General features: G+C 52.1%; 2 protein-coding genes and 1 long non-coding RNA gene across 7 annotated transcripts in view, besides 8 other annotated features; 1 reads left to right on the top strand and 2 right to left on the bottom strand.

Annotated features, from left to right (window-relative positions):
- The window catches only part of PIK3CD (phosphatidylinositol-4,5-bisphosphate 3-kinase catalytic subunit delta), a 101,857-nt gene extending 87,695 nt beyond the window's left edge, over positions 1 to 14,162 (bottom strand). For 3 of the 5 annotated variants that reach the window (XM_047422555.1, XM_047422551.1, XM_047422561.1), the window contains exon 1: positions 11,196 to 11,447. The gene's annotated coding sequence lies outside the window, so the exon portion shown is untranslated. Of the gene's footprint in view, positions 1 to 11,195; positions 11,508 to 12,717; positions 12,941 to 13,879 lie in introns of those variants that run through there. The other 2 variants (XM_047422557.1, XM_047422553.1) reach the window with 2 other exon arrangements.
- Positions 10,755 to 10,814: an enhancer, noted in NCBI's record as "active region_133". NCBI's record gives its function as "activates an Ori minimal core promoter by ATAC-STARR-seq in GM12878 lymphoblastoid cells {active_cell/tissue: GM12878}" and the evidence as "EXISTENCE:reporter gene assay evidence [ECO:0000049][PMID:35858748]".
- Positions 10,845 to 10,894: an enhancer, noted in NCBI's record as "active region_132". NCBI's record gives its function as "activates an Ori minimal core promoter by ATAC-STARR-seq in GM12878 lymphoblastoid cells {active_cell/tissue: GM12878}" and the evidence as "EXISTENCE:reporter gene assay evidence [ECO:0000049][PMID:35858748]".
- Positions 11,395 to 11,504: a silencer, noted in NCBI's record as "silent region_227". NCBI's record gives its function as "represses an Ori minimal core promoter by ATAC-STARR-seq in GM12878 lymphoblastoid cells {active_cell/tissue: GM12878}" and the evidence as "EXISTENCE:reporter gene assay evidence [ECO:0000049][PMID:35858748]".
- Positions 11,993 to 12,973, top strand: LOC105376712 (uncharacterized). Its single transcript, XR_946951.2, has 2 exons — positions 11,993 to 12,196; positions 12,737 to 12,973. It is a non-coding gene; the product is annotated as an uncharacterized LOC105376712 (long non-coding RNA).
- Positions 13,458 to 13,922: an enhancer, noted in NCBI's record as "nonconserved acetylation island sequence 67". NCBI's record gives its function as "activates a minimal heat-shock promoter by reporter assays in Jurkat T cells {active_cell/tissue: Jurkat}" and the evidence as "EXISTENCE:reporter gene assay evidence [ECO:0000049][PMID:17135569]".
- Positions 14,030 to 14,369: a silencer, noted in NCBI's record as "silent region_226". NCBI's record gives its function as "represses an Ori minimal core promoter by ATAC-STARR-seq in GM12878 lymphoblastoid cells {active_cell/tissue: GM12878}" and the evidence as "EXISTENCE:reporter gene assay evidence [ECO:0000049][PMID:35858748]".
- Positions 15,110 to 15,249: an enhancer, noted in NCBI's record as "active region_131". NCBI's record gives its function as "activates an Ori minimal core promoter by ATAC-STARR-seq in GM12878 lymphoblastoid cells {active_cell/tissue: GM12878}" and the evidence as "EXISTENCE:reporter gene assay evidence [ECO:0000049][PMID:35858748]".
- LOC124903837 (uncharacterized) overlaps positions 19,104 to 25,694 on the bottom strand; it is a 7,653-nt gene continuing 1,062 nt past the window's right edge. The window contains exon 2 of the mRNA XM_047436734.1: positions 19,104 to 19,394. Within this exon, the coding sequence (XP_047292690.1) occupies positions 19,175 to 19,394 (220 nt within the window). The 3' untranslated portion in view covers positions 19,104 to 19,174. The remainder of the gene's footprint in view (positions 19,395 to 25,694) is intronic.
- Positions 25,382 to 25,441: an enhancer, noted in NCBI's record as "active region_130". NCBI's record gives its function as "activates an Ori minimal core promoter by ATAC-STARR-seq in GM12878 lymphoblastoid cells {active_cell/tissue: GM12878}" and the evidence as "EXISTENCE:reporter gene assay evidence [ECO:0000049][PMID:35858748]".
- Positions 25,451 to 25,694: part of an enhancer, noted in NCBI's record as "H3K4me1 hESC enhancer chr1:9675483-9676027 (GRCh37/hg19 assembly coordinates)", that runs on past the window's edge. NCBI's record gives its function as "activates a minimal SCP1, AML or CMV promoter by ChIP-STARR-seq in naive H9 embryonic stem cells {active_cell/tissue: H9 hESC(naive)}" and the evidence as "EXISTENCE:reporter gene assay evidence [ECO:0000049][PMID:30033119]".

Genomic DNA, 25,694 nt, shown 5'->3' with positions numbered 1-25,694 from the left:
ACAATAATGTACCCTCTGACCCAGGGCTGGGGGAGGGTTCAATGAATCCCTAGTCCTGCTTCTGATACAAAGTTCAAGAGGTGGTGGAGGAAGTGGGGAAGCAGCAGAGTTTGGGGTCAGGCACCTGGATTCAACCTCATGCCCTCCATACACTGGAGGTGACCCGGGCTTTGCAACACTGATTCATCCAGCAAGTGTGTATCTTGCAGCAAGCTGTGCCTGATACAGTTGGGCTCTGGAGATGCAGCACTGGACAAGCCCCAGGCCTGCCGCCCCCGCAACCCCCTGGAGTTTATACTCAGTAAGGAAGAGAAACTAAGAAGAATAAAAATAAGATACAGTGTTGTGCTGCCGAAAAATGTAAGATAGGAGGGGAGAGACAGGGGAAGGGGGACTACAGAACTAGGAAGGCCTCCTTGAGGTCAGGACACTGGAGCTGAGCACGGACCTGGATGAACTGACGGAGGAGAAGCCGCGTGGGTCTCGAAGGCCAGAGCATCGCAGGCTTTGGGAAGAAATGGTGCAAAGGCCCTGGGCAGTGGTGGCATGCTGGAGGCAGGGAGGCCCAAGTTGGGTGCAGATAGCAAGGAGGATGCGGGAGGGGGCAGCTGAGGATTTGGATTTGACCAAAAGAGCACTGAAAAGCAGAGGGAAGGTTCCAGGCTGAGCCGGGGAGTGGCGGGACTGTGATTCACATGTGAAAAAGCCTGCAATAGACACCCGTACATTTCCTTGCTCAGTCAAATGGAAAGACCTAGAAGCAACAACACCCCAGGAGCAAGGAGAATGCACCAGCACACCAGCATCTTGATTTTCGTTTCTTTTTTTTTTTCTTTTTTTGAGACAGAGTTTTGCTCTTGTTGCCCAGGCTGGAGTACAATGGCACAGTCTCGGCTCACTACAACTTCCGCCTCCCTGGTCAAGCGATTCTCCTGCCTCGGCCTCCCAAGTAGCTGGGATTACAGGCGCCCACCACCACGCCTAGCTAATTTTTGTATTTTTAGGAGAGATGAGGTTTTACCATGTTGGTCAGGCTGGTCTTGAACTCCTGACCTCAGGTGATCCACCTGCCTTGGCCTCCCAAAGTGCTGGGATTACAGGTGTGAGCCACCGTGCCTGGCTTGGATCTTGGTTTCTGATACCATTTTCCTCCACAAAAGGAACCAGGGCTCCCTGGGGAAACTGGCAATTCTAGGATGAGGGCAAGAAACGGACAGATGAAACTGGAGCATCTTAAAGTTCCAGAAAGAAAAGAAGTGCTTCCAAACAAAACACCACAATGATGGGTGCATATCTCGGGGGTCACAGCGATGAACTGAAAAAGCTTCCAGTGGCCAAAGCTAGAACAACTTGAGCAATGAAAGAAAGAAAGAAAGGAGGTCGGGCACGGTGGCTCCCACCTGTAATCCTAGCACTTTGGGAGGATGAGGCAGGAGGATTGTCTACACTGAGGAGTTCAAGACTAGCCTAGGAAACATAGTGAGCCCTCGTCTCCACTAAAAATAAAAACAAATTCAAAAAAATTAGCCAAGCATACTGGTGGGTGCCTGTAATCCCAGCTACTCGGGAGGCTGAGGCACAAGAATCGCTTGAACCCGGGAGGCAGAGGTTGCAGTGAGCCACGATCGCGCCACTGCACTCCAGCCTGGATGACAGAGCGAGCCTCTGTCTCAAAGAAACAACAAACAAACAAACAAAAACCCTGAAGATAACGGTTGAGGTTGAGGGGCAGGCAGAGGCAGAGCCCCAGAAGAGGGAGGCGCAAAACTCCAGAAAGCGAGGCCTTATTCTCCCAGCCCTGCCCTGGAAATTCTGTCCTTGGGGCCGGGGTGGGGGGCTCAGCCTCCCCTTCTGGGGGCCCTGAAATGCAGCCCTGCCCCCAACCCTTCAGTCTGTTTCTTCTGTAAAAATGAGGTTAGTTACTCCAACTTCAGAGAAGTTGTGAGGCTAAAAATAGACGTTTTAGCAAAAGTGGTTTAGAGACGAGTAAAAGCTTTGCAAATAGGTTACCCTCTCGGGGGTGCTCAGCAGGATGGAGCTGGGCCCTGCCCCATCCACCACTACCTAGGGTGCTCCTGCTCCAAAAGCCTCTATCTCTCTAGATAAATACCCACTCTCGGTAGTTAGCCCTCTATCTTGAAAAGCACCTAGTGTGAGGAGTAACCCCACGTGAATCCCCAAAATCCTCTATGAGAAGGAATAGAGATGGTTACTTTTTCCCAGGACAGAAAGACAAGGATGAAAAAGTGTACATGCAGGAGAGGGAGAAGGTTTAGGATTAGAAGAAACCATTTCCCACATGTAGTGAGTTGAATGGTGGCCTCTAAAAAGATACGTCCAAATCCTAATCCCAGGCCGGAGGCGATGGCTCACGCGTGTAATCCCGACATTTTGGGAGGACAAGGTGGGCAGATGGCTTGAGCCCAGGAGTTTGAGACCAGCCTGGGCAACATGGCAAAATCCCATCTCCACAAAAACTAGCAGGGCATGGTGGTGGGCACCTGTAGTCCCAGCTCCTCCTGAGGCTGAGGCGGGAGGATCACTTGAGCCCAGAAAGCAGAGGGTGCAGTGAGCCGAGATCACACCAAGGCACTCCAGCCTGGGCGACAGAGCAAGACTCTGTCTCAAAAAAAAAAAAAAAATCTTGCAAAAGGGTCAGATGATTGAAGTTTTTTTTTTTTTTTTTTTGAGAAGGAGTCTCGCTCTGTCACCCAGGCTGGAGTGCAGTGGTGCAATCTCGGCTCACTGCAAGCTCCGCCTCCCGGGTTCTGGCCATTCTCCTGCCTCAGCCTCCCAAGTAGCTGGGACTACAGGCGCCCGCCACCACACCCCGCTAACTTTTTGTATTTTTAGTAGAGACGGGGTTTCACCGTGTTAGCCAGGATGGTCTCAATCTCCTGACCTCGTGATCCGCCCGCCTCGGCCTCCCAAAGTGCTGGGATTACAGGTGTGAGCCACCGCTCCCGGCCTAGATGATTGAAGTTTTTATAGCATCGGAAGCGGGTTTGGAGGTTCTGCAGGGAGGGGTGACAAGCTATGGGGAGGTGAGGGAGGCATGAGTGCACAGGGAGTGAAAAGCTGCAGATAACGGCTCTCAGGTAATTTTGGAACTGCCCTCAGCAGAACAGGTGATGGTCTGTGGCAATCTATCTGGGCGGTTGCCTGTGAGTCTCTTTTCCTCTGATAGGATCTTTCCTAGACCCATCTTTAGGTTGATAAGGAGCCTTAGAGAAAGCCTCTGCTTGCATCCACTGCTTACTCACGTAGAGCTCCTTTATTTTTTCATTTATTTATTTATTTATTTATTTATTTTGAGACAGAGTCTCGCTCTGTTGCCCAGGCTGGAGTACAATGGCGCAGTCTCAACTCACTGCAACCTCTACCTCCCGGGTTCAAGCAATTCTCCTGCCTCTGCCTCCCGAGTAGCTGGGACTACAGGCGCCTGCCACCATGGCTGGCTAATTATTTTTGTATTTTTAGTAGAGACAGGGTTTCACCATGTTGGCCAGGCTGGTCTCGAAGTCCTGACCTCAAGTGATCCGCCTGCCTTGGCCTCCCAAAGTGCTGGGAGCCATGGCGCCCAGCCTAGAACTTCTTTACAGGTGTATGGTTTTTACAGAAGAACAACTTTTCAGAGGTATTCCCGTGTCTGCAGCTTATCTAAAGAGCCATCTCAAAATATGCAAAGAAATATATTTTGGGGTGGTAGATTTTAGTCTCCCACAGAGTGATGTGGCCACAAGCCAAGGAGTGCCTGGAGCCACCAGAAGGTGGAAGAGGCTAGGAAGGATCCTTCCCTACAGCCTCCAGAGAGAGTGTGGCCCTGTCTCCACCGAGACTTCAGACTTCTGACCACCTGAACTGGAAGAGAATAAACTGGCTGTTGTGTATTTACTTATCTATTAAGATAGGGTCTTGCTCTGTCACCCAGGCTGGAGTGTAGTGGTGTGATCATGGCTCAGTGCAGCCTCGATCTCCCGGGCTCAAGTGATCCTGTGGAGTAGCTGGGACTGTAGGTGCACACCACCATGCCTAGCTAATTTTTGTAATGTTGTAGAGATGGAGTTTCACTATGTTGCCTGGGCTGGTCTCAAACTCCTGGGCTCAAGCAATCCTCCCACCTCAGCCTCCCATAGCACTGGGATCACAGGTGTGGACCATCATACCTGGCCTCTTCTATGGATTATTATGCAGCCAATAAAATGAGAAGTATAAAGATGTGGCCTCAGGGCCAGTAGCTCATACCTGTAATCCCAGCACTTTGGGAGGCCAAGACAGGCAGATCATGAGGTCAGGAGATCGAGACCATCCTGGCTAACACAGTGAAACCCCATCTCTACTAAAAATACAAAAAATTAGCCGGGCGTGGTGGCGGGCGCCTGTAGTCCCAGCTACTCAGGAGGCTGAGGCAGGAGAATGGTGTGAACCTGGGAGGTGGAGCTTGCAGTGAGCCGAGATCGGGCCACTGCATTCCAGCCTGGGTGACAGAGAGAGACTCCGTCTCAAAAAAAAAAAGAAAGAAAAGAAAAGAAAAAAAAGAAACCATGCCATAGGTAACTTGCCAAGATCACCAACTTGATAGGTGGAGGTTCATGAACTCTATCCACCTAAGCCCTAAGCTGTGCGCTTCGCCCTCCTTGGTGGCCTTTCTACAACCCTGAAGCCGGGTAGGAGGAGGGGCATAGGGCTTATTGGACAAGCGATAACATTAAGTTGGCCCATGAACCAAAAATGGGAGGAAGAAAATGTGTCACATTACCACCTGGAGGGCCAGCCGCTGCCTTCTCCCTATGGCTGGAACCGTCCAGAGAAAGGCATGGTACATCCACTCAATGGAAGAGCAAGCAGCCACTGAAAATGACAATTCTGAAGACCCACAGCATCATGGGAACTGATGGTGTCTTCCGCTGAAAAAACGCAATGCAAAGCCTGGTGAGGTGGCTCATGCCTGTAATCCCAGCACTTTGGGAGGCCAAGGTGGGTGGATCATTTGAGGCCAGGAGTTCAAGACCAGCCTGGCCAACATGGTGAAACCCTGTCTCTACTAAAAATACAAAAATTATCCAGGTATGGTAGTGGGCACCTGTAATCCCAGCTACTGGGGAGGCTGAGGCATGAGAATTGCTTAAACCCAGGAGGTGGAGGCTGAAGTGAGCCAAGATTGCACTGCTGCACTCCAGCCTGGGCAACAGAGTGAGACCATGTCCCCCCCCAAAAAAATGCAGAATTGTTTGTACCTGGGTCACAACTGTGTGTGACATACACACATGGGCACAGTGGGAGGGGACTTAGAACAATGGAAGCTGAGAGAGAGGTGGGGCTTCAAATGTTTTATCTCCATTTTTGTCTGTCTGCTCACATTTTGCTAACAGTGTAATAAAAATACATAAATGTAAGATTAAAAAGCTGGGTATTTATTTATTTACTTCCTTTCCCAAGTCAGAGCGAATCCCTCTTGCTGCTCATACCAGGACCTTGGATGGGCAAGTGTTTCATCTGTCTGGGCTCCAGGCCCTATTTGTGGCAGCCAGATGCTCACATGTCTGCCTGCTCCATCAGTAACAGGGGCAGCCCCGTACAGGGATGGGAACCCATCAGAAGGACTCCTTTAGGAATGCACTTGGCATGGGAGAAGTCTGTCAGTGGACAGCAGAGCCTCAACCAGTTGCAGCTGTAATCCAGGCAATTGCAAGATGGCAAGAGCACAGTGCTATGGCAATGGATGCCCAGCTCCGGCTCTAGGAGATCCCCCACGCATCCACATGGCTACACCAGCAGTCTCCAGTCAGGTGTGACTGCCCAGCATGCCCTTGACCCTATCCAAGTTGATAAGACCAGGGGTATCACCTGACCCAAGGCGAGCCAATCAGTGATTTCCCTGGGAATATGGAATTGGAATCAAGGGAATAGAGTTAGTGTTCTTTAGACACCTGGAGCGTGGGTGGTCTAACATGGAGCCAGCGAGCTGCAGGGCCTCTTTTGCCCTCAAAAGGACTAAAGAAATCAGAGGAGCGGATATGCAGAGGAAGAGAGAGTGGGGGAGAATCATGCAGCAGATGCACAGAGAGGAAGAGAGGGACACAGATGAGAAAGAAAATTCTCATCTTTTCAGCTCCTGGTTCCTGTAGCTTTTTTTTTTTTTTTCAGGATGGAGTCTTGCTATGTTGCCCAGGCTGGAGTACAGTGGTGAGATCTTGGCTTACTGCAACCTCCACCTTCCAGGTTCAAGCGATTCTCCTGCCTCAGTCTCCTGAGTAACTGGGATTACAGGAGTGCACCACCACGCCTGGCTAAGAGAGGGGGTTTCACTATGCTGGCCAGGCTGGTCTCATACTCCTGACCTCAGGTGACCCACCCGTCTTGGCCTCCCAAAGTGTTGGGATTACAGGCGTGAGCCACCTCGTCTGGTGTAAATTTCCCTCTTCCTATAAGGACACCCAAGTTCAATGTGACCTCATCTCAACTAACTACATCTGCAAAGACCTTATTTCCAATTAAGATCACATTCTGAGTTTCTGGGTAAGCACAAATTTTGGGGAGACAATAGTCAGCTCAGTATAAACTCTCTTGAGTTGGATATTGTTATTCAAAACAAAAAAATCCCAAATAATACACATATTGGTGTCAGAAGTGGGGTGTTAAGTTTCAAGTTACTTTCAAAGAAAGTATGAAACTAGCTGACTCGAGGCAGAGTGAGGGGCAATGAGGTTTTCCTATTTTTGGATGGGACACTGGCAGTTCTTGTTTTGTGTTAACAGATGAGTTAAACTATTTTCAGTGACCTCATGGGACTCAAAGGCTGAAGTGTTAAGAAACTTGGAGGCTGGACGCAGTGGCTCATGCCTGTAATCCCAGCACTTTGGGAGGCCAAGGCGGGCAGATCACTTGAACTCAGGAGTTTGAGACCAGCCTGGGCAACATGGCGAGGCCCCATCTCTACAAAAAATACAAAAATTAGGGCCAGGCATGGAAGCTCACGCCTGTAATCCCAGCACTTTGGGAGGGCGAGGCTGGTGGATCACATGAGGTAAGGAGTTCAAGACCAGCCTAGCCAACATGGTGAAACCCCGTGTCTACTAAAAATACAAAAATTAGCCAGGCCTGCTGATGCACGCCTGTAATCCCAGCTACTCAGGAGGCTGAGGCAGAATCTGAGGAGAATCGCTTGAACCTGGAAGGCGGAGGTTGTAGTGAGCTGAGATCATGTCACTGCACTCCAGTCTGAGTGACAGAGTGAGACTTTGTCTCAAAAAAAAAAAAAAAAAAAAAACAACCCAAAAATTAACCAGGTGTGGTGGCACACACCTGTGGTCCCAGTTACTCAGGAAACTGAGGAGGGAGGATTACCTGAGCCCTGGAGTAGAAGTTGCAGTGAGCCGAGATCACGCCACTGCACTCTAGCCTGGGCAACAGAGCAAGGCCCTGTCTAAAAAAAAGAAAAAAAGGAAAAGTCTGTGAGCCTAGTAACTGGAATGGGAATATCTGGAAAGAGCCACAGGAGCACACAACCCTTAACCTCCTGGGATTACAGGTCTCTGGTCCCTCTTAAGAACTTCCTCTTCCCAGACAAACATGATGGTATCTCCTATTGTCCAGTGGTAGAAGGGCAGGCAGAGGTAGCATTCCAAGAGAAATTAGAGAAAAAAAACCTTCTTTCTATCCCAAGCCAGACGATGATTTCCTCTTTTCACTCTTAGGCTGAAAGAAGAAATTAGCCCTCACATTTGCTGCTAAGAAACCCAAACCTCGGGGACATGACCTATGACCTAGTCTAAGGCTGAATGTTCAACCGCATAAGATTTCATGACATTAGCTGGGCCCGATGGCTCACGCCTGTAATCCCAGTACTTTGGGAGGCTGAGGCAGGTGGATGGCCTGAGGTCAGGAGTTTGAGACCAGCCTGGCCAAAATAGTGAAACCCCGTCTCTACTAAAAATACAAAAAATTAGCTGGGCGTGGTGGTGAGCACCTGTAATCCCAGCTACTAGGGAGGCTGAGGCAGGAGAATCACTTGAACCCAGGAAGCAGAGCTTGCAGTGAGCCGAGACTGCGCCATCGCACTCCAGCCTGGGCGACAAGAGCGACATTGATTATTGGTAAATGGCATGATCCCAAATAAAAGTTACAGGCAACCAACTAGCGTTTTACGAGAGTTGAAAACCAGGAAACCACGCCTGACAAATTGGGGTTTGTGATCTCTCATCCCCACCTGGAGAATTCCTAAGCCAAAGTACCAGCACCAACAAGAATCAGGTTGCTGATCAGGCACGGTGGCTCACGCCTGTAATCCCAGCACTATGGGAGGCCGAGGCGGGCGGATCACGAGGTCAGGAGATGGAGACCATCCTGGCTAACATGGTGAAACCTCGTCTCTACTAAAAATACAAAAAATTAGCCGGGTGTGGTTGCAGGCACCTGTAGTCTCAGCTACTCAGGTGGCTGAGGCAGGAGAATGGCCTGAACCCTGGAGACGGAGCTTGCAGTGAGCCGAGATGGCACCACTGCACTCCAGCCTGGGCAACAGAGCGAGACTCTGTCTCAAAAAAAAAAAAAAAAAAGAATCAGGTTGCTAAGGTAATTATATCACCTCCTAGAAGCCGCCTTCCCAAGAAACTCTCAAGGGTGGGTCTGAGAGGCTCTAGACTAGAAGGGATCTAGAGATTCCTTCTCAATGGGCAGAACTTGGGGTAGTCACATTTGTCAACAAAGGGGCCAAGGAAGGTAGCCACAGAGCAAACCCCAAGTGATACCTTGTTCCTAATGTTCAATTGACCCAACCCACCTGGAATGCTGCAGCGCGTGCTTTGTATATTGCATCCACATTTTTGCTCTATAGATCAAGTATGGTAGGAGAGGTTAAATTGATCTGTTCCTCTGTTGAGAGGATCCTGGAGAGCCACCAGGGAAGAGATTCAGCAGAAACAGAGGGCAGCTGGGCATGACGGCACATGGCCGCAGTCCCAGTTACTTGGGAGGCTGAGGTGGGAGGATCGCTTGAGCCCAGGAGTTTGAGGCTGTAGTGCATTATCCTTGCACCTGTGAATAGCCACTGCACTCCAACCTGGCAACATAGTTGAGACCCTCTGTCTTTAAAAAAAAGAAAGAAGAAGCCAGGTGCGGTGGCTCACGCCTGCAATCCCAGCACTTTAGGAGGCAGAGGCAGGTAGATCACCTGAGGTCGGGAGTTTGAGACCAGCCTGACCAACATGGAGAAACCCCATCTCTACTAAAAATACAAAATTAGCTGGGCGTGGTGGCGCATGCCTGTAATCCTAGCTACTCAGGAGGCCGAGGCAGGAGAATTGCTTGAACCCAGGAGGCGGAGGTTGCAGTGAGCTGAGATCGCACCATTGCACTCTAGCCTGGGCAACAAGAGCAAAATTCCATCTCAAAAAAACAAAAATAAAAAAAAGAAAGATAGAAGAAGGAAGGAAGGGAGGGAGGGAGGGAGGGAAGAAGGATGGATATCAGATGAAGATGGCAGCTCTGAGAATAGAGCCCTGGATGCAACAGTTTAACATGGTGAGATGGCTTGGATCACCTCATTTGACGGGGGAGAGGTATTTGAGATTGACTTTGAGGTGTGGCAGGACGAGGTAAAGCAAGGACAACTGGAATGAGGATATCTGGGAAAAGCCAAAGGAGCTGGGCAAGGGCCTCTGTGCTGGGCAGGACCAGAATGGAATGAACTAGAATGGACACCACTGGCCTTTAGGCCATTAGGCCGACCTGCCCCCCTCCCTTTTTTTTCTGAGTTGGAGTCTTGCTCTGTCACCCAGGCTGTCACCCAGGCTGGAGTGCAGTGGCGCCATCTCAGCTCACTGCAACCACCGCATCCAGGGTTCAAACGATTCTCCTGCCTCAGCCTCCTGAGTAGCTGGGATTACAGGCATCTGCCACCATGCCCAGATAATTTTTTGTATTTTTAGTAGAGACGGGGTTTCACCATGTTGTCCAGGCTGGTCTTGAACTCCTGGCCTCAAGTGATCTGCCTGCCTTGGCCTCCCAAAATGCTGGGATTACTGGCATGAGCCACTGCACCCGGCCAGTCTGACCCCCTTTTGGTAATCCTTTGTCATGTACCCATGAGGACAGATGCTTAGCGTTCACACTTGACCACTAGCCAGCTGAACGGACTGGAAGGGAGGCCTGGATCCAACACAGGCTAATCAAGTCCTTCCCAGGGAGGTGGGCTTGGGACCACACATAGTTCTCTTTGGGTGAAGGGATCCAGGATGTAGCAGCTTGACAGGTGTGATGCAGACGGGCAGATGGGGGCAGACAGGTGAGTGGCACTGAGAAGTGTCCCTGGGCTGTCTGCAACTCTGGGTCTGATAAGAGCACCCTGCATCTCTGCTGTAAAGTCAGTCCCCTTTCCTGCTTGAGCGAAAGGGAGCTGGTTTCTGAGCTTAGGCTGGGGCATGAACTCTGTCCCGGTGTGCAGGGTGAGGCTATAGCTTGAGAACAAATGGATGACCAATCATCTGAATGGAGCCAACCCAGCCAGCCTCCCAGGGTCACCTCCCATCACTTCCCCCTCTCTGCCCTCCCTGCTGGGCCAGGAGCCGGGACTTGTAGCTCCAGAACATCCCAGGCTTGCTGTCTGACTCTGGACGTTTGCACATGCTGTTCCCTTTACCTGGAGTGCCCTTCCCCACACTTCCTTCTGCCCTCTTCTGCACACACACACACACACACACACACACACACACTCACTTTCTTTGCTAACTACTCAGTAGAATTCGGGCCCAGCACAGATGTTACCTGCCTTGGCCCCCTTGCCCGAAGGGGCCCTTCATCATACTCCTGGCTATATCATCCCCTCCCAGCTCTTGGTCTACTCAACCATGATTGCCTATTCGCTCAGCTGCTCCTGGGAGCAGGGACTCTACATGGATCTGGACAGGCTCCTGGGCTGCTCCCCTGTGTCTGGCACCCAGAGGGCATCACCAGTGAGTCTGTAGAAATGCTGAATGAAGGAATACATGAGTGATGTGGTCATGAAGGGACAAGGTGATGCTTTGCCCAGGGGCCAGGGGGCTGTAGCCGAGGAAGAGAAAGGACAAGTGTCCACATCCTAGCCAGTGCAGGAACAGCCCCTTCACACCCTTCAAGGAGGGGCCTGACACCGAGTGACCCTGCAGTCCATGATCCAAGGCCTGACGGCCTCCGGGGGGTAGGGAGGCTAGACTCACCTGTCAGAGTGGTCCCTCTGCCCCTGGTATCACCAGACAGACGTGGGTCCAGCCTGGATCAGTCCAATCCCGGAGGCATTCTCAAGCCTAGGGAAAAATGCTGTTTTCAGAGTGAGGACCGCACTGAGGACTCCTCTGCTCCCCCCGTGGGCCAGCCCCCAGTCTCCCTAGCATCCTCAGCTACTCTGAGCTGGAGAGTGCAGAGTGCAAAGCACACTCCTCTCCCAACCTCGTGGTGTCCTGGGCGCCTCTGACCCCCGGGCTTCCTTCCCAGGCAGGCCTCCGCCTCCGCCCCCACTCCCCCCTCACCCCATGAAAGAGTAATGGCGCAAAATTCGTTGGGGAGAAAAACAGGAAGTGGAGAGCGAGGGTGCAGAAGTGCTCCCCAGCCCGTGCACCGCAGCCTTACGGGGAAGTGCTCAGGGGCGGTCCCGGCCCGACTGCAGGGGTGGGGGAGCCTTAGGGCGAGCTGGGAGTCCGGCGAGTACCCTGTGGCGAGGGGCTTTGTTTTAGACCGAACTTCACACCTGCACCCTGCCTCTGACATCTTAGCTCACCTTCTCCCAGCAGCTCCCCAAGGTTGAGACCATGACCCCATTTTACAGACAGGCAAGTGCGCTCAGAGAAGTGAAGTGACCTGGCCAAGGTCACACAGCCTTTCCCACGGCAGGGTCGTGGCTCCTCGATTCTTTCTCAGGCTTTGATTTCTATTTGTGGTATGTTTTTGTTCTAGGCCTCTGAGCGTGGTGGGTGGGGGCGGGGGTGGGGGGGCAGGGAGTGCTGTTTCTGGCTTCTCAGCACATCCTCATTCTCGGCTGGTGGTAAGAAAGGGGAGAGGGTCAGCTGCTGAGGACCGTCCTCCCCTGGGGGTTCCTGGAATGTGTGAGCTGGGAGGACAGGTGCCCCGGCCTCTTTCTCGGAGAAGAGGAGAAGGAGCCTGGGGGGAAGGCACCCCAGTGACAACCGCAGAGGGAGGGCACCAACCCCCAACACAAACTCAGGTAGGTGTGGCCTTGAAGCCCCAGGACTCAGAGCTTCAAGTGAGTTCAGACTCACCCTTTCCTCCCGGGGCCGCAACTCACAGCAGCCCCAGTCCTTAGAGGCGTCAGTGGCCCGAGACCCCCAGGGGAAGAGGTGACCTCAGGTGGCCTCACTGGGGTGACAGTGGGGAGAGAACCCGCTGAAAATACTCCCCACCCAGGCCCGCCCCTCACTTGGGTCATGAAGCCCCCTCGCCCTGCCTGCCCCAGGGCAGACCACAGACGGCAAACGGGGGCTTCTGGGGACCTTCCCATGGAGTTCCCACCGCCCAACCTTTTCCTTCCGAGGGTCCTGGGGGATCTGAGTCCTCGGGATCACCCTTACTGCCCAGTGTCTCCCTAGTCTTGACCGCAGCTCGTCTGTCCTTCACCACCCACTCCTCCTTCACCACCCACTCCTCCACCCTGGCCACCAGCTCTTCCCCTCCAGCTGCCTCTGGAAATCCCCCCAACATTCCACAGAGCCCTCAAACTCAACACACCTCCAACCAATCTCACCAGGGCCACCAACTCTGGGCCACCTCCGTGTGAGGAAGGCAAAGAAGGCAGTCTGCCCGGTCACTGAGGCTGAAACCTCAGAGCTGAGCTGTGGCCTCCACTCACCCACCACTGGCCCATCCTCCCTCCACGGCAGGGGCGCCTTTCCCAGAAGGCTCTGGCGTTGCTTAGACCACAGCGGAGGCCGGTGCTCAACTTTTAGAATTGCTGTTGGAAATAAATAATTCATATATGTAAAAATGCTTATAATCGTGCCTGACACAGAGTGAACCCCCATAAAATGTGAGTGTTTGAGCTATCCTTCTAGTATATTCTAGAATGGCATCTTTGGGCTTTGTGAGACTGGATGTTTCTGCGCTAAGAGTATTTTTCTTTCTTTCTTTTTGAGATGGAGTCTCACTCTGTCACCCAGGCTGGAGCGCAGTGGCACAATCTTGGCTCACTGCAACCTCCGCCTCCCAGATTCAAGCGATTTTCCTGCCTCAACCTCCCGAGTAGCTGGGGTTACAGGAATGCGCCACCACGCCCAGCTAATTTTTGTATTTTCGTAGAGACAGGGTTTCACCATGTTGGCCAGGCTGGTCTCAAACTGGTGACCTCAGGTGATCCACTGGCCTCAGCCTCCCAAAGTGCTGGGACTACAGGCGTCTCGCTCTGTCGCCCAGGCTGGATCGCAGTGACGCGATCTCAGCTCACTGCAGCCTCAACCCCCTGGCTCCTGCGGGAGGTGCCATCTGCCTCCATGGTTCCTCCATTGTTCTCAGATCAACAGTGGGGCTCTGCCACCCGCGGCCTCTGTTCCCTGTAGCCGTGGGCTGCGGGGCTGCGGAACTAGAAACAAGAGGCCCCCTGGCCTTTAGCATCGAAGGCCCCTCCTCTCTCTACTGCCTTTGGGCAGCAGTCATCCCTCAGCACCAACAGCACCCGGGGCCAGCAGGGAAGGTGGCCGCGATAAGGGAGGCCTGGCCGCCCTTCCCTTTGTGCAGGAGACTCAGCCCCTGGTCCTCAGCCACCCCAACATCACAGGGAACTAGAATCATAAGTTAATATCTGTAAAGTGCCCAGAACCATGCCAGACCTGGATGAGAACTCAGTACACATGTTATCATCATCATCATCACCACTGTCACCTAATTTAATCCTTACAGCCGCCCTGTGAGATCAGCGTCATGCTCCCACTGACGGGCGCGAAGTCTGAGGTGGAGAGAGGCGAGGCCCACGCCTTCGTGCAGGCAGCTGCGCAGGGATTCAAACCCCAGCCTGTTGGATGCTCGTGCTCTCAGCCTCGTGCACGGGTTTCCATCTCCGCGGGTGTGAAGCCAGCTGTGGAGGTGCACACCTCTGTGCTGCCGCCACCCCTGCAGGAGGCAAAGAGGCCGCCACGGAGCCCGGGTGCCCGGAGCCTTAGGTCGCCCAGCCGGCGTCTCCCCCGGGCATCCGCTCCCCGACCTCGCGGCCTCCGGGTTGGGCGCCAGGGAAGCGCGCGGCGCCACCTGGTGGTGATGCCTGGCCAAGGCCACAGCCGCCTGCAACCCTCAGCCCCTGGCTCAGCGGCTCCCCCTGCTGCCCGCCCGGCGGCGCCGCGTGGTTTCCGCCGCACTCTCGGGACTGGGAAAGCGGAATTCACTTTCTCTCCTGCCCGCTTCCTCCAGGGATGGAGAAATGAGCGTAAACCCTGGCGCTGCTGGGGTCCTGGGGCAGGTACTGAGTCAGCAAAGCTCATTTTGTTGAAACTGTGTTTTGTGTCCCTCCAAACCTCCCATTTCTTTTTTTTTTTTTTTTTGAGACGGAGTCTCTCTCCGTCGCCCAGGCTGGAGTGCAATGCTGCGATCTCGGCTCACTGCAACGTCCACCTCCTGGGTTCAAGAGATCCTCCTGCCTCAGCCTCCTGAGTAGCTGGGATTACAGGCGTGCGCCACCACACCCAGCTAATTGTATTTTTAGCAGAGACGGGGTTTCACCATGTTGGCCAGGCTGGTCTTGAACTCCTGACCTCAGGTGATCCGCCCACGCCTCGTCCTCCCAAAGTGCTGAGATTACAGGCGTGAGCCACCGCGCCTGGCCTCCTTTCTTAATTCCTGCATTGCAAGTGGCAGATTGTTCTAGAGCTGCTTGCCGCAGCCTTGGTACTGGCAGCTCAGCCTGGAGCTCACCCTCCCTTCCTCCCTGCCCAGCTCTGCGACCCTGTGCCCCGGACCCCCTCTCCAGCAGCCTTGGGGGCGTCCCCACCCAGGCACTTGCAGGCCCCTGCAAACGGAATCTGCCCCAACCCGACTCCCTGGCCACCCGGATCTGCCCCTGGCTCACTCTTCCTTTCTGCTTCAGCGAAAGCTTATCCCCTCTCTCCTCTGTGGTCAAAGCAGAAATCCCCAACAGGGTTCACTTCTCTCTCTTGCCCGCAGCCTCATGCAGGTGTTGCCAAGTCTTGCTGTCTGAGATGGTCAAGGGATAGGGGCTACAAGTTACACCCATTCATTCTGCACTTTATCAAATGCCACCAGTATGCCCTGAGGATACAGCAGTGACCAAGTCCCTGCCCTGGAGGATCTTCTAGTGGGTGGGTGGGCGCGGCTGATGATACAGAAACAAACAAGTACATTCCTAACATCTTGCACAGTGGTAAGTGCTAGGGAGAAGAGTAAAGTGGGGTAGGGCCCTTGGTCACCAGTGCCATGTCCCAGGTGCCGCCTCACCCCACTCGGGCTCCCACACCCCACCAATTGCCTTTCTCACTCCACTCTGACTCCCTGAGAGGACTCCCTCCTCTCCACCCCTGCCAGGCTCTGATACCTCCCAGCAGGTCGCCCTCCTGGGTGACTTCCACCCTCACCTGGCTGGAGGTCTGATGGGCACACCTGGCCACCCAGGGGGGCCGCTCCATGGCTTGTAACTCCCCCAGTGCCTTTTGGACTGAATTTCCAAGGAAGGGAAGGAAAGAAATGAAAGGCAAAGAGGGAGAGCTGTCCCTCAACTTGATATTATATCTTGAAAAATCTGCCGGGCGTGGTGGCTCATGCCTGTCATCCCAGCACTTTGGGAGGCAAAGGTGGGCAGACTGCCCGAGATCAGGAGTTTGAGACCAGCCTGGCCAACATGGTGAAACCCTGTCTCTACTAAAAATGCAAAAATTAGCCGGGTGTGGGGGCGCATGCCTGTAATCCCAGCTTCTTGGGAGGCTGAGGCAGGAGAATCGCTTGAACCCAGAAGGCGGAGGTTTCAGTGAGCCAAGATCATACCACCACACTCCAGCCTGGGTGACAGAGCGAAACTCCATCTCAAAAAAAAAAAAAAAAAAAAAAAAGAAAAAAAAGTTTGTGGCCTGGCACACTGGCTCAGGCCTGTAATCCCTGCGCTTTGGAAGGCTTAGGTGGGAGGATCGCTTGAGGCCAAGAGTTTGAGACCAGTCTGGGCAACATAGCAAGACCCTGTCTCTACAAAAGATTTTAAAAACTATCTGGGTGTGGTGGTGCACACCTGTGGTCCTAGCTACTTAGGAGGCTGAGGCAGGAGGATTGCTTGAGCCCAGGAGTTTGAGGCAGTGAGCTGATTGTGCCATTGCACTTCAGCCTGGGCAACAGAGTAAGACCCTGTCTCTAAAATAAATAAAAAGAGAAAAATCTCAAACTCTCAAAAAAAAACAAAACAAAACCCAACAAACAAACAAAAAAAACAAAATACAATGAAGACATATACCCTAAAGAAAGGTATCTCCAGCCTGGCGCGGTGGCTCACGCCTGTAATCCCAGCACTTTGGGAGGCCGAGGCGGGTGGATCACGAGGTCAGGAGATTGAGACCATCCTGGCTAACAAGGTGAAACCTCGTCTCTACTAAAAATACAAAAAAAAAAAAAAAAAAAAAAATTAGCGGGGCATGGTGGCGGGTGCCTGTAGTCCCAGGCACCTACTCCTACTCAGGAGGCTGAGGCAGGAGAATGTCGTGAACCTGGGAGGCGGAGCTTGCAGTGAGCCCAGATGGCGCCATTGCACCCCAGCCTGGGCGACAGAGCGAGACTCCTTCTCAAAAAAAAAAAAAAAAAAAGGTGTCTCCAGATGGGAGGGAAAAATGGCGGCCTGTTTGCGAGTAATCCTGGGAGTAACCCAGGAAAAAGGAAAAGCGGTGAGGAGGAAGAAGAGGGAGAGGAGGGAGGGGTGGGCAGCTGCCGTAACCGGGTCCTTGAGCAGACTGGGATCAGGTGTGGTGGGTAGGAGGTGTGGGGTATGGGCTGGGATGGCAGCATGGACAGTTCGCCCACTGTGATAGGTGGGAAGGCAGAGGACAGGGAACCTGGGTCCATAGCCTGGTAGAGTCAGTTTCTCCTGCCTTGTCACCCCAAACAATTCAACTGAACCTTCTAACTCCAGACCATCTTTCTCTCTCTTTCTTTCTTTTCCTTCCTTCCTTCCTTCCTCTTTTCTTTGTCTTTTTCTTTCCTTCTTTCCTCTCTTTCTTTTTCTCTGTCTCTCTCTTTCTTTCTTCCTTCCTTTCTGACAGAGTCTTGCTCTTTAAGGCTGGAATGCAGTGGTGTGATCTAGGCTCACTGCAACCTCCGCCTCCTGGGTTCAGGTGATTCTCATACCTCAGCCTCCCTAGTAGCTGGTATTACAGGCATGCACCACCACACCCAGCTAATTTTTGTATTTTTAGTAGAGACAGGGTTTTACCATGTTGGCCAGGCTGGTCTTGAGCTCCTGACCTCAGGTGATCCACCCGCCCTGGCCTCCCAAAGTGCTGGGATTACAGGCCTGAGCCGCTGCACCCGGCCCAGAGGCATTTATTTAAAATGTGCAATAAAAGTGTTCTGAGCTTCCCTTACGTACATAGGACTTCCTATAACTCATCTCCCATGCAGCTGAGCCTCTAGCTGAGCATGCCTTGCCAACTTTAATTAAGCCTAAATACCCAACAGCAGGTGGCTGCTGAAGGAATCCAGGAAATAACATCCCAAAATATGCCGCATTGCTATGATGATGACTTCAAACTGAAGGGATTTGGAAACCAGCAAATGCACAAAGGGGCTTTTCCTGAATTTCTCTTATCTGATTAAAGGTAGATTGTCCAGAAGGAAGCTAATCATCATAAAAACCCTCTCTGGGAATGTTTGTTTTTTTTTTTTTTTTTTTTTTTTTGAGACGGAGTCTCGCTCTGTTGCCCAGGCTGGAGTGCAGTGGCGGGATCTCGGCTCACTGCAAGCTCTGCCTCCCGGGTTCAAGCCATTCTCCTGCCTCAGCCTCCCAAGTAGCTGGGACTACAGGCGCCCGCCACTACGCCCAGCTAATTTTTTGTATTTTTAGTAGAGACGGGGTTTCACCGTTTTAGCCGGGATGGTCTCGATCTCCTGACCTCGTGATCCGCCCGCCTCGGCCTCCCAAAGTGCTGGGATTACAGGCTTGAGCCACCGCGCCCGGCCTGGGAATGTTTATCTATCAGAGAAGATGAACATGCATCCAGAGTCCAATCTAGAAGGGACTGGAAGTTAACACGCTGTCCGGACAGGCTCTTATTTATTCTTTTCATTTTGCTGGAAGGGGTGGAGGCGCAACCCCATCATTGCTTAAAAAAAATTATGATATAGGCTGGGCGCGGTGGCTCACACCTATAATCCTAGCACTTTGGAAGGCCCAGGTGGGTAGATCACGAGGTCAGGAGATCGAGACCATCCTGGCTAACATGGTGAAACCCCATCTCTACTAAAAATACAAAAAATTAGCCGGGCATGGTGGCAGCCACCTGTAGTCCCAGCTACTCGGGAGGCTGAGGCAGGAGAATGGTGTGAACCCGGGAGGCGGAAGTTGCAGTGGGCCAAGATCGTGCCACTGCACTCCAGGCTGGGTGACAGAGCGAGACTCCGTCTCAAAAAAAAAAAAAAAAAAAAAATTATGGTATGAAGATGAAAATGTCCATTCCTATCCCTGCACCGCCAGACTGAGGGGGTGGGGGAGGATCTATACCCTGACCCCTACCCGAGTCTTAAACCTCACAGACTAAGTATGGAGTGTGGGTGGCACAGGCACCTTCCCCATAACAGTTCCAAGGAAGCAAAGTGATCAATGGATCCAGTTTCCCCAGTGTCTTCCAGCATGAGACTGGTGAGGAGCTGCCACCTGGGACATCCCCAGTGGCCCTCATGTAACAGCCCAGATAGAGCCGATTTATCAAGACACGGAAAATTAGCTGGGCATGGTGGCGGGCGCCTGTAATCCCAGCTACTCGGGAGGCTGAAGCAGGAGAATCGCTTGAACCCAGGAGATGGAGGTTGCAGTGAGCTGAGATTGTGTCACTCTACTCCAGCCTGGGTAACGGAGCAAGACTCCGTCTCAAAAACAAACAAACAAACAAAAACCAAACAAACAAAAAACAAAACGCGGGGGGTGGAAATTGCAAAGGAAAGAGTTTAATTCACACAAAGTTGGTTAAACAGGAGACCACAGTTTTGCTGTTACTCAATTTACCCTCCTGGAAAATTCAGAGACTAGGGTTTTTAAAGATAGTTTGGTGGGCAGGTGGCTAGAGGGTGGGTGTGGCTGACTGGTTGGGGATGCAATCATAGGGGTATGGAAACTGGTCCTCTCTACTGATTCCACTTCTGGGTAGGGGCCACAGGACCAGCTGAGTCCTGAGTCTCTGGCTGGGTGGAGCACCTGGTCTTCAGAAATACAAAGTCTGAAAAGATATCACAAAAGGCCAATCTTAAATTATACAATAGTGATGTTACTTACAGGAGCAACTGGAGAAATTGCAAATCTTATGAGCCCCGGAACAATGGCTGGTAATCATTTATAACTACACCTACATTTTACATAATTCAGGCCCCTCTCACAATCCTGACCTTGTAGCCTTTCATTAGTCTTACCAATCCGGTTTAGTTTTGGGAAGGGTTATTTTCATCCTCGCTTTAAGGTTAAACCATAAACTAAATTCCTCCCAAAATTAGCTTGGCCCATGCCCCCAGAATGATCAAGGGCAGTTTGGAGGTTAAAGGCAAGAGGGAGTTGCTTAGCTCAGATCTCTCTTTTTTTTTGAAACAGAGTCGCGCTCTGTCACCCAGGCTGGAGTGCAATGGCACAATCTTGGCTCACTGCAACCTCCACCTCCCAGGTTCAAGTCATTCTCCTGACTCAGCCTCTGGAGCAGCTGGGATTACAGGTGTGCACCACCATGCCCGGCTAATTTTTGTATTTTTAGTAGAGACGGGGTTTCACCATGTAGGCCAGGCTGGTCTCAAACTCCTGACCTCCGGTGATTCGCCCACCTCGGCCTGACAAGGTACTGGGATTACAAGGCATGGAGCCACCACACTCAGCCCTCTGCTGTCTCTTCTGATAACTGTAATTCATTATTTGTGACTGTTCCTTTAATCCTGTCTTCCCCTCCCATCCACACTGTTAGCCCAAGTGTCAGAGGTATTTGAACCAGAGCAACTCCATCTTGAATAGGAGCTGGGTGAAGAAGCTGAGACCTACTTGGCTGCATTCCCAGATGGTTATGGCATTCTAAGTCACAGGATGAGACAGGAGGTCAGCACAAGACACATGTCATAAAGACCTTGCTGAGAAAACAGGTTGCAATAAAGAAGCTGGCTAAAACCCACCAAAACCAAGATGGTGACAAGAATGGCCAGAGGTGACAAGAGGTCTGGGGTGACATAAGCTCTGACCCTCTAGTGAGCTGAGGCAGGATGCTGGAAGGTTCCCAGGCTGAACGAAGCTGCCTTTGCAAAAATCATAATAGTGAGAAAATTGACAGTGAAAGAGATCTGACCGGGCACGGTGGTGGCTCATGCCTGTAATCCCAGCACTTTGGGAGGCCAAGGCGGGTGTATTGCCTGAGGTGAGGAGTTTGAGACCAGCCTGGCCAACATGGTGAAACCCCCTCTCTACTAAAAATACAAAAATTAGCCGGGCATGGTGGCGCATGCCTGTAATCCCAGCTACTGGGGAGGCTGAGGCAGGAGAATTGCTTGAACCCGGGAGGCGGAGGTTGCAGTGAGCCGAGATAGCGCCACTGCACTCCAGCCTGGGAGACAGAGCAAGACTGTCTCTAAAAAAAATTTCAGTGAAGGAAAATTCATGCCAGGTGTGGTGGCTCACGCCTGTAATCCCAGCATTTTGGGAGGCCGAGGCAGGCAGATCACGAGGTCAGGAGTTCGAGACCAGCCTGACTAACATAGTGAAACCCCATCTCCACTAAAAATACAAAAAATCGCCGGTTGTGGTGGCAGGTGCCTGTAATCCCAGCTACTCAGGAGGCTGAGGCAGAAGAATCGATTGAACCCGGGAGGCGGACATTGCAGTGAGCCCAGATCGTGCCACTGCACTCCAGCCCAGGCAACCAGTGCAAGACTCCGTCTCAAAAAAAAAAAAAAAAAATTCATTTGGCACCACTACATCTGCACTCCTGTTTGATGTTCCAGGTAGAGGGGGTCACGGTCCCTGCACTCTTGTGTTACCGGAAAGAAGTCCTGATCCAGACCCCAAGAGTGGGTTCTTGGATCTCACACAAGAAAGAATTCAGGGCAAGTCCACAGTGCAAAGCAAAAGCAAATTTATTAAGTAAAGTGGTGAAAGAATGGCTAGTCCATAGACACAGCAGCCCATGGGCTGCTCTGTTTATTTTTATGGCTATTTCTTGATGATATGCTAAACAAGGGGTGGATTATTCCTGCCTCCCCTTTTTAGACCATAGAGGGTAATTTCCTGACATTGCCATGGCATCTGTAAACTGTCATGGCGCTGGTGGGAGTGCAGCAGTGAGGACGACCAGAGGTCACTCTTTTTTTTTTTTTTTTTTGAGACAGAGTCTCGCTTTGTCACTAGGCTGGAGTGCAGTGGGGCGATCTCGGCTCACTGCAGCCTCCGCCTCCCAGGTTCAAGCAATTCTCCTGCCTCAGCCTCCTGAGTTGCTGGGACTACAGGCACGCACCACCACATCCACCTAATTTTTGTATTTTTAGTAGAGATGGGGTTTCAACATGTTGACCAGAATGGTCTCGAACTCCCGACCTCAGGTGATCTGCCTGCCTCAGCCTCCCAAAGTGTTGGGATTACAGGCGTGAGCCGCTGTGCCCGGCCTGCCTGGCTAATTTTTTAAAAGTTTTTTGTAGAGATGGGGTCTCACTATGTTGCCCAGCCTGGTCTCAAATTCCTGGTTTCCAGAGATCTTCCTGCCTCAGCCTCCCATGCCTGGGATTACAGGCGTGAGCCACCATACCCAGCCCCAAGTGAATTTTGGAACTCTCTGGAGATGGAGCGTGCAGGACAGCCCTTCCCAAGCCTCCCTCGTGATCTGTTCTCAGCTCTGGCCCAGCTGAGCCACCGGCTCACCTCCAACACACTTCCCTTCCCTCCAGCTCCAGAACGGGTGCCCCGAAGCCAGGAGCTCTGAGCCTCAGCTGCAGCTCACTGTTCTCACCCTGGCTTCAGGAGCTCCAGATGTGTGTGCCTCCTGCCACCTCCCCTCAGAGCTGAGACTGGGAGATGCCTACATGTAGCTAAGGGACATTTCATTCAACCATTCATTCAATGTTTAATGAGCCCCAACTACGACCCAAGGGCCCTGTTCTAGTGGAAATGACATTCTAATGGGGGAGGCATGCAGTCCAGCGGTCATGAGGCAATCACAGCGCAGATTTAGTGGAAGTGATTTGCGGATATTGAGAGCACAGTGGGAAAAGGCCTCTCGCAGGCGGTGGGTGGCCGTTTAGGATGAGAACTGAAGGATGAGAGGTGCGTGCTGCGTGGTTGTGCAAGCTCCAGGCAGGGAACACAGGGCAGAGGACTCCAGTGGGCGTCTCTGAAGCGTCCAGTGCAAATGCTCAAAACTCAGTTGACAGCCTGGGCTACATGGTGAAACACCGTCTGTACTACAAAAATACAAAATTTTTCTTTTTTTTTTTTTTTGAGATGGAATCTTGCTCTGTTGCCCAGGCTGGAGTGAAGTGGTGCGATCTCAGCTGACTGCGACCTCTGCCTCCTGGGTTCAAGCAATTCTGACTCAGCCTCCCGAGTAGCTGCAATTACAGGTGTGCACCATCTTGCCTGGCTAATTTTTGTATTTCTAGTAGAGACAGGGTTTCACCATGTTGGCCAGGCTGGTCTCGAACTCCTGACCTCAGGTGATCTGCCCGCCTCAGCCTCCCAAAGTGCTAGGATTACAGGCATGAGCCACTGTGCCCAGCCCCCAGTTTTTTTAATTTAGCCGGGCGTGGTGCGTGCGCCTGTAGTCCCAGCTACTCGGAAGGCTGAGGCCTGAGAATCCCTTGGACCCAGGGGATGGAGGCTGCAGTGAGTCAAGTTCGTGTCACTGCACTCCAGCCTGGGTGACAGAGCGAGACCCTATCTCCAGGAAAAAAAAAAAACAAAAAAACTCAAAAACTAAATTCACAACCTATGCGATGCCCCTGCTGGCATTTCCCTGGGCCTCTGCTGCACTTTTAAGTGGATAATTACATAAGTATCTGTGTGCCTGCCCAAGTCTGACCCCCTACTCGAGGTAAGCTCTTTGGGACAGGGACAGCTCAGTGTTGCTCATCATTCATTGTATCTCGTGGACCCAGCACAGTCTGGCCCACCCTAGGGGCACCGTATTGATGGCTGCACAGTGGCTGAGGATGGATGAACTAAGGAAAGAACCTGCTGTGGAAATCCCGGAGTCCTCCCCTCCTTCACTGTGGTCCAGCTCAGTCCCACCCGGTGAACAGGGCTGGACACGCACACTTGGCTGGTGAAAGGGTGTGTGGAGAACCCCAAGTTGGCACCAAGCTCAGGGGGCTGCACTTCAGCCCTTTAAGGACTGAAAACAGCTTTCCCCACTTCCCTCTGCCTTTGTAGCAAGATATCCTCAGTTGAAATCACAGAAAGCATTTTGCAGTGGTAGAGCCACTCTGGACCCCACAGAAGACACCTATGGTGGGGGTGGGGGGAGAGTTCCTGCCTCTGATCGTCCCTCAGAAGAAACAGGGGGTCACCTAGGCCCTTTCCTGTTGCACAGAGGGGTCCAGCGTCACACGGCTAGTAGGTTGGTATGGTGGGTGGTATGCTATAGTAGTTTTTGAACTTAAAAAAAGAAAAATCGGTAGACTTTTCTGATATAAAACAGAAAAAAGTGGGTTAGCACAAGACACAGGTCATAAAGACCTTACTGATAAAACAGTTTGCAGTAAAGAAGCTGGCTAAAATCTACCAAAACCAATAAGGCTTATTTATTTATTTATTTATTTATTTATTTAGAGGCGGAGTTTCGCTCTTGTAGCCCAGGCTGGAGTGCAATGGTGCGATCTTGGCTCACTGCAACCTCCGCCTCCCGGGTTCAAGAGATTCTCCTGCCTCAGCCTCCCAAGTAGCTGGGACTACAGGCATGCTCCAGCACGCCTGGCTAATTTTGTATTATTATTATTATTTTTTTTAGTAGAGATGGGGTTTCTCCATGTTGGTCAGGCTGGTCTCAAATTCCCGACCTCTGGTGATCCACCCACCTCGGCCTCCCAAAGTGCTGGGATTACAGGCGTGAGCCACCGCACCCGGCCCAAGATGATTTCTTTACTGTAACCTGTAAATTCTTCTCAGTTGAAACCCTGCCTAAGAAAACTGAGCTTCTCTGCTAGAGAGGGGTGGTGCCGGGCACCCTGCCTGCCTCTCTTCACCTCTCCAAATTCCTTCCTGATCTTCTGATGAGCTTTCAACTGCATGGTGGAAGATGCCTGGGAACCAGGGGCAGGTTTCTACAGCAAAACTCAGCTCAAGTACGAAACTAATTTTTCTGTACCTTTCTGTAATGCAACACACAAAAAGCTTTAGCATCTTATTTTTTAGAGAGAGGGTCTTGCTCTTGTCACTCAGGCTGGGCAGTGGTGCAATCACAGCTCACTGCAGCCATGACCTCCCAGGGACTCAAGCAATCCTCCCACCTCAGCTTCCCGAGTAGCTGGGAGGACAGGCATGTGCCACCACACCCAGCTTTTTTTTTTTTTTTTTGAGACGGAGTCTCGCTCTGTCGCCCAGGCTGGAGTGCAGTGGCGCCATCTCGGCTCACTGCAAGCTCCGCCTCCCAGGTTCACGCCATTCTCCTGCCTCAGCCTCCCGAGTAGCTGGGACTACAGGCGCCCGCCACCACGCCCAGCTAATTTTTTGTATTTTTAGTAGAGACGCGGTTTCACCCTGTTAGCCAGGATGGTCTCGATCTCCTGACCTCATGATCCACCCGCCTCGGCCTCCCAAAGTGCTGGGATTACAGGTGTGAGCCACTGTGCCCGGCCCCAGCTAATTTTCTTGTTTTTGCAGAGACGAGTTTACACTGTATTACCCAGGCTGCTGTTGAACTCCTGGGCTCAAGAAATCCTCCTGCCTTGGCCTCTCAAAGTGCTGGGATTACAGGCATGAGCTACTGCAGTGGGCCCTTGGGATAATCCTTCAGAGGTGAATTATTCTACTGAAGATTCTGGCCAGGCACAGTGGCTCATACCTATAATCCCAGGACTTTGGGAGGCTGAGGTGGGTGGATTGCTTGAGCTCAGGAGTTCGAAACCAGCCTGGGCAACATGGTGAAACCTCTTCTCTACAAAAAATACAACAAAAATTAGCTGCGTGTGGTGGTGTGCACCTGTATTCCCAGCTACTGGGAGGGCTGAGGCAGGAGGAATGTTTGAGCCCCTGAGGTTGAGGCTGCAGTGAGCTATGATTGCATCACTGCACTCCAGCCTGGGGGACAGCGAGACCCTGTCTCAAACAAAACCACCACAAAGAAGAGATGCCAATATCTTAATGCCAGGATTATGAGGCATTTTCTTTTTTGCTCACTTCTATTTCTAGGTTTTCTACATAAATGTGTTACCTTTTGATAAGAAAACCATAGATGGCGTTACTACTGTTGCTCCCAAGTTGGGGAGAACCTCACAGCTGAGGGCGCTTGGCTCTCTGCTGCCCTCACTTGGCCTCTCCTCGCCAGGCCGGGGTAGGAGCTGAATGG

Source organism: Homo sapiens, chromosome 1, assembly GCF_000001405.40.
Source record: "Homo sapiens chromosome 1, GRCh38.p14 Primary Assembly".
NCBI classification, from domain to species: Eukaryota; Metazoa; Chordata; class Mammalia; order Primates; family Hominidae; genus Homo; species Homo sapiens.
Note: the sequence above shows the minus strand (reverse complement) of the source record. Positions and strands in the feature narration are given on the sequence as shown.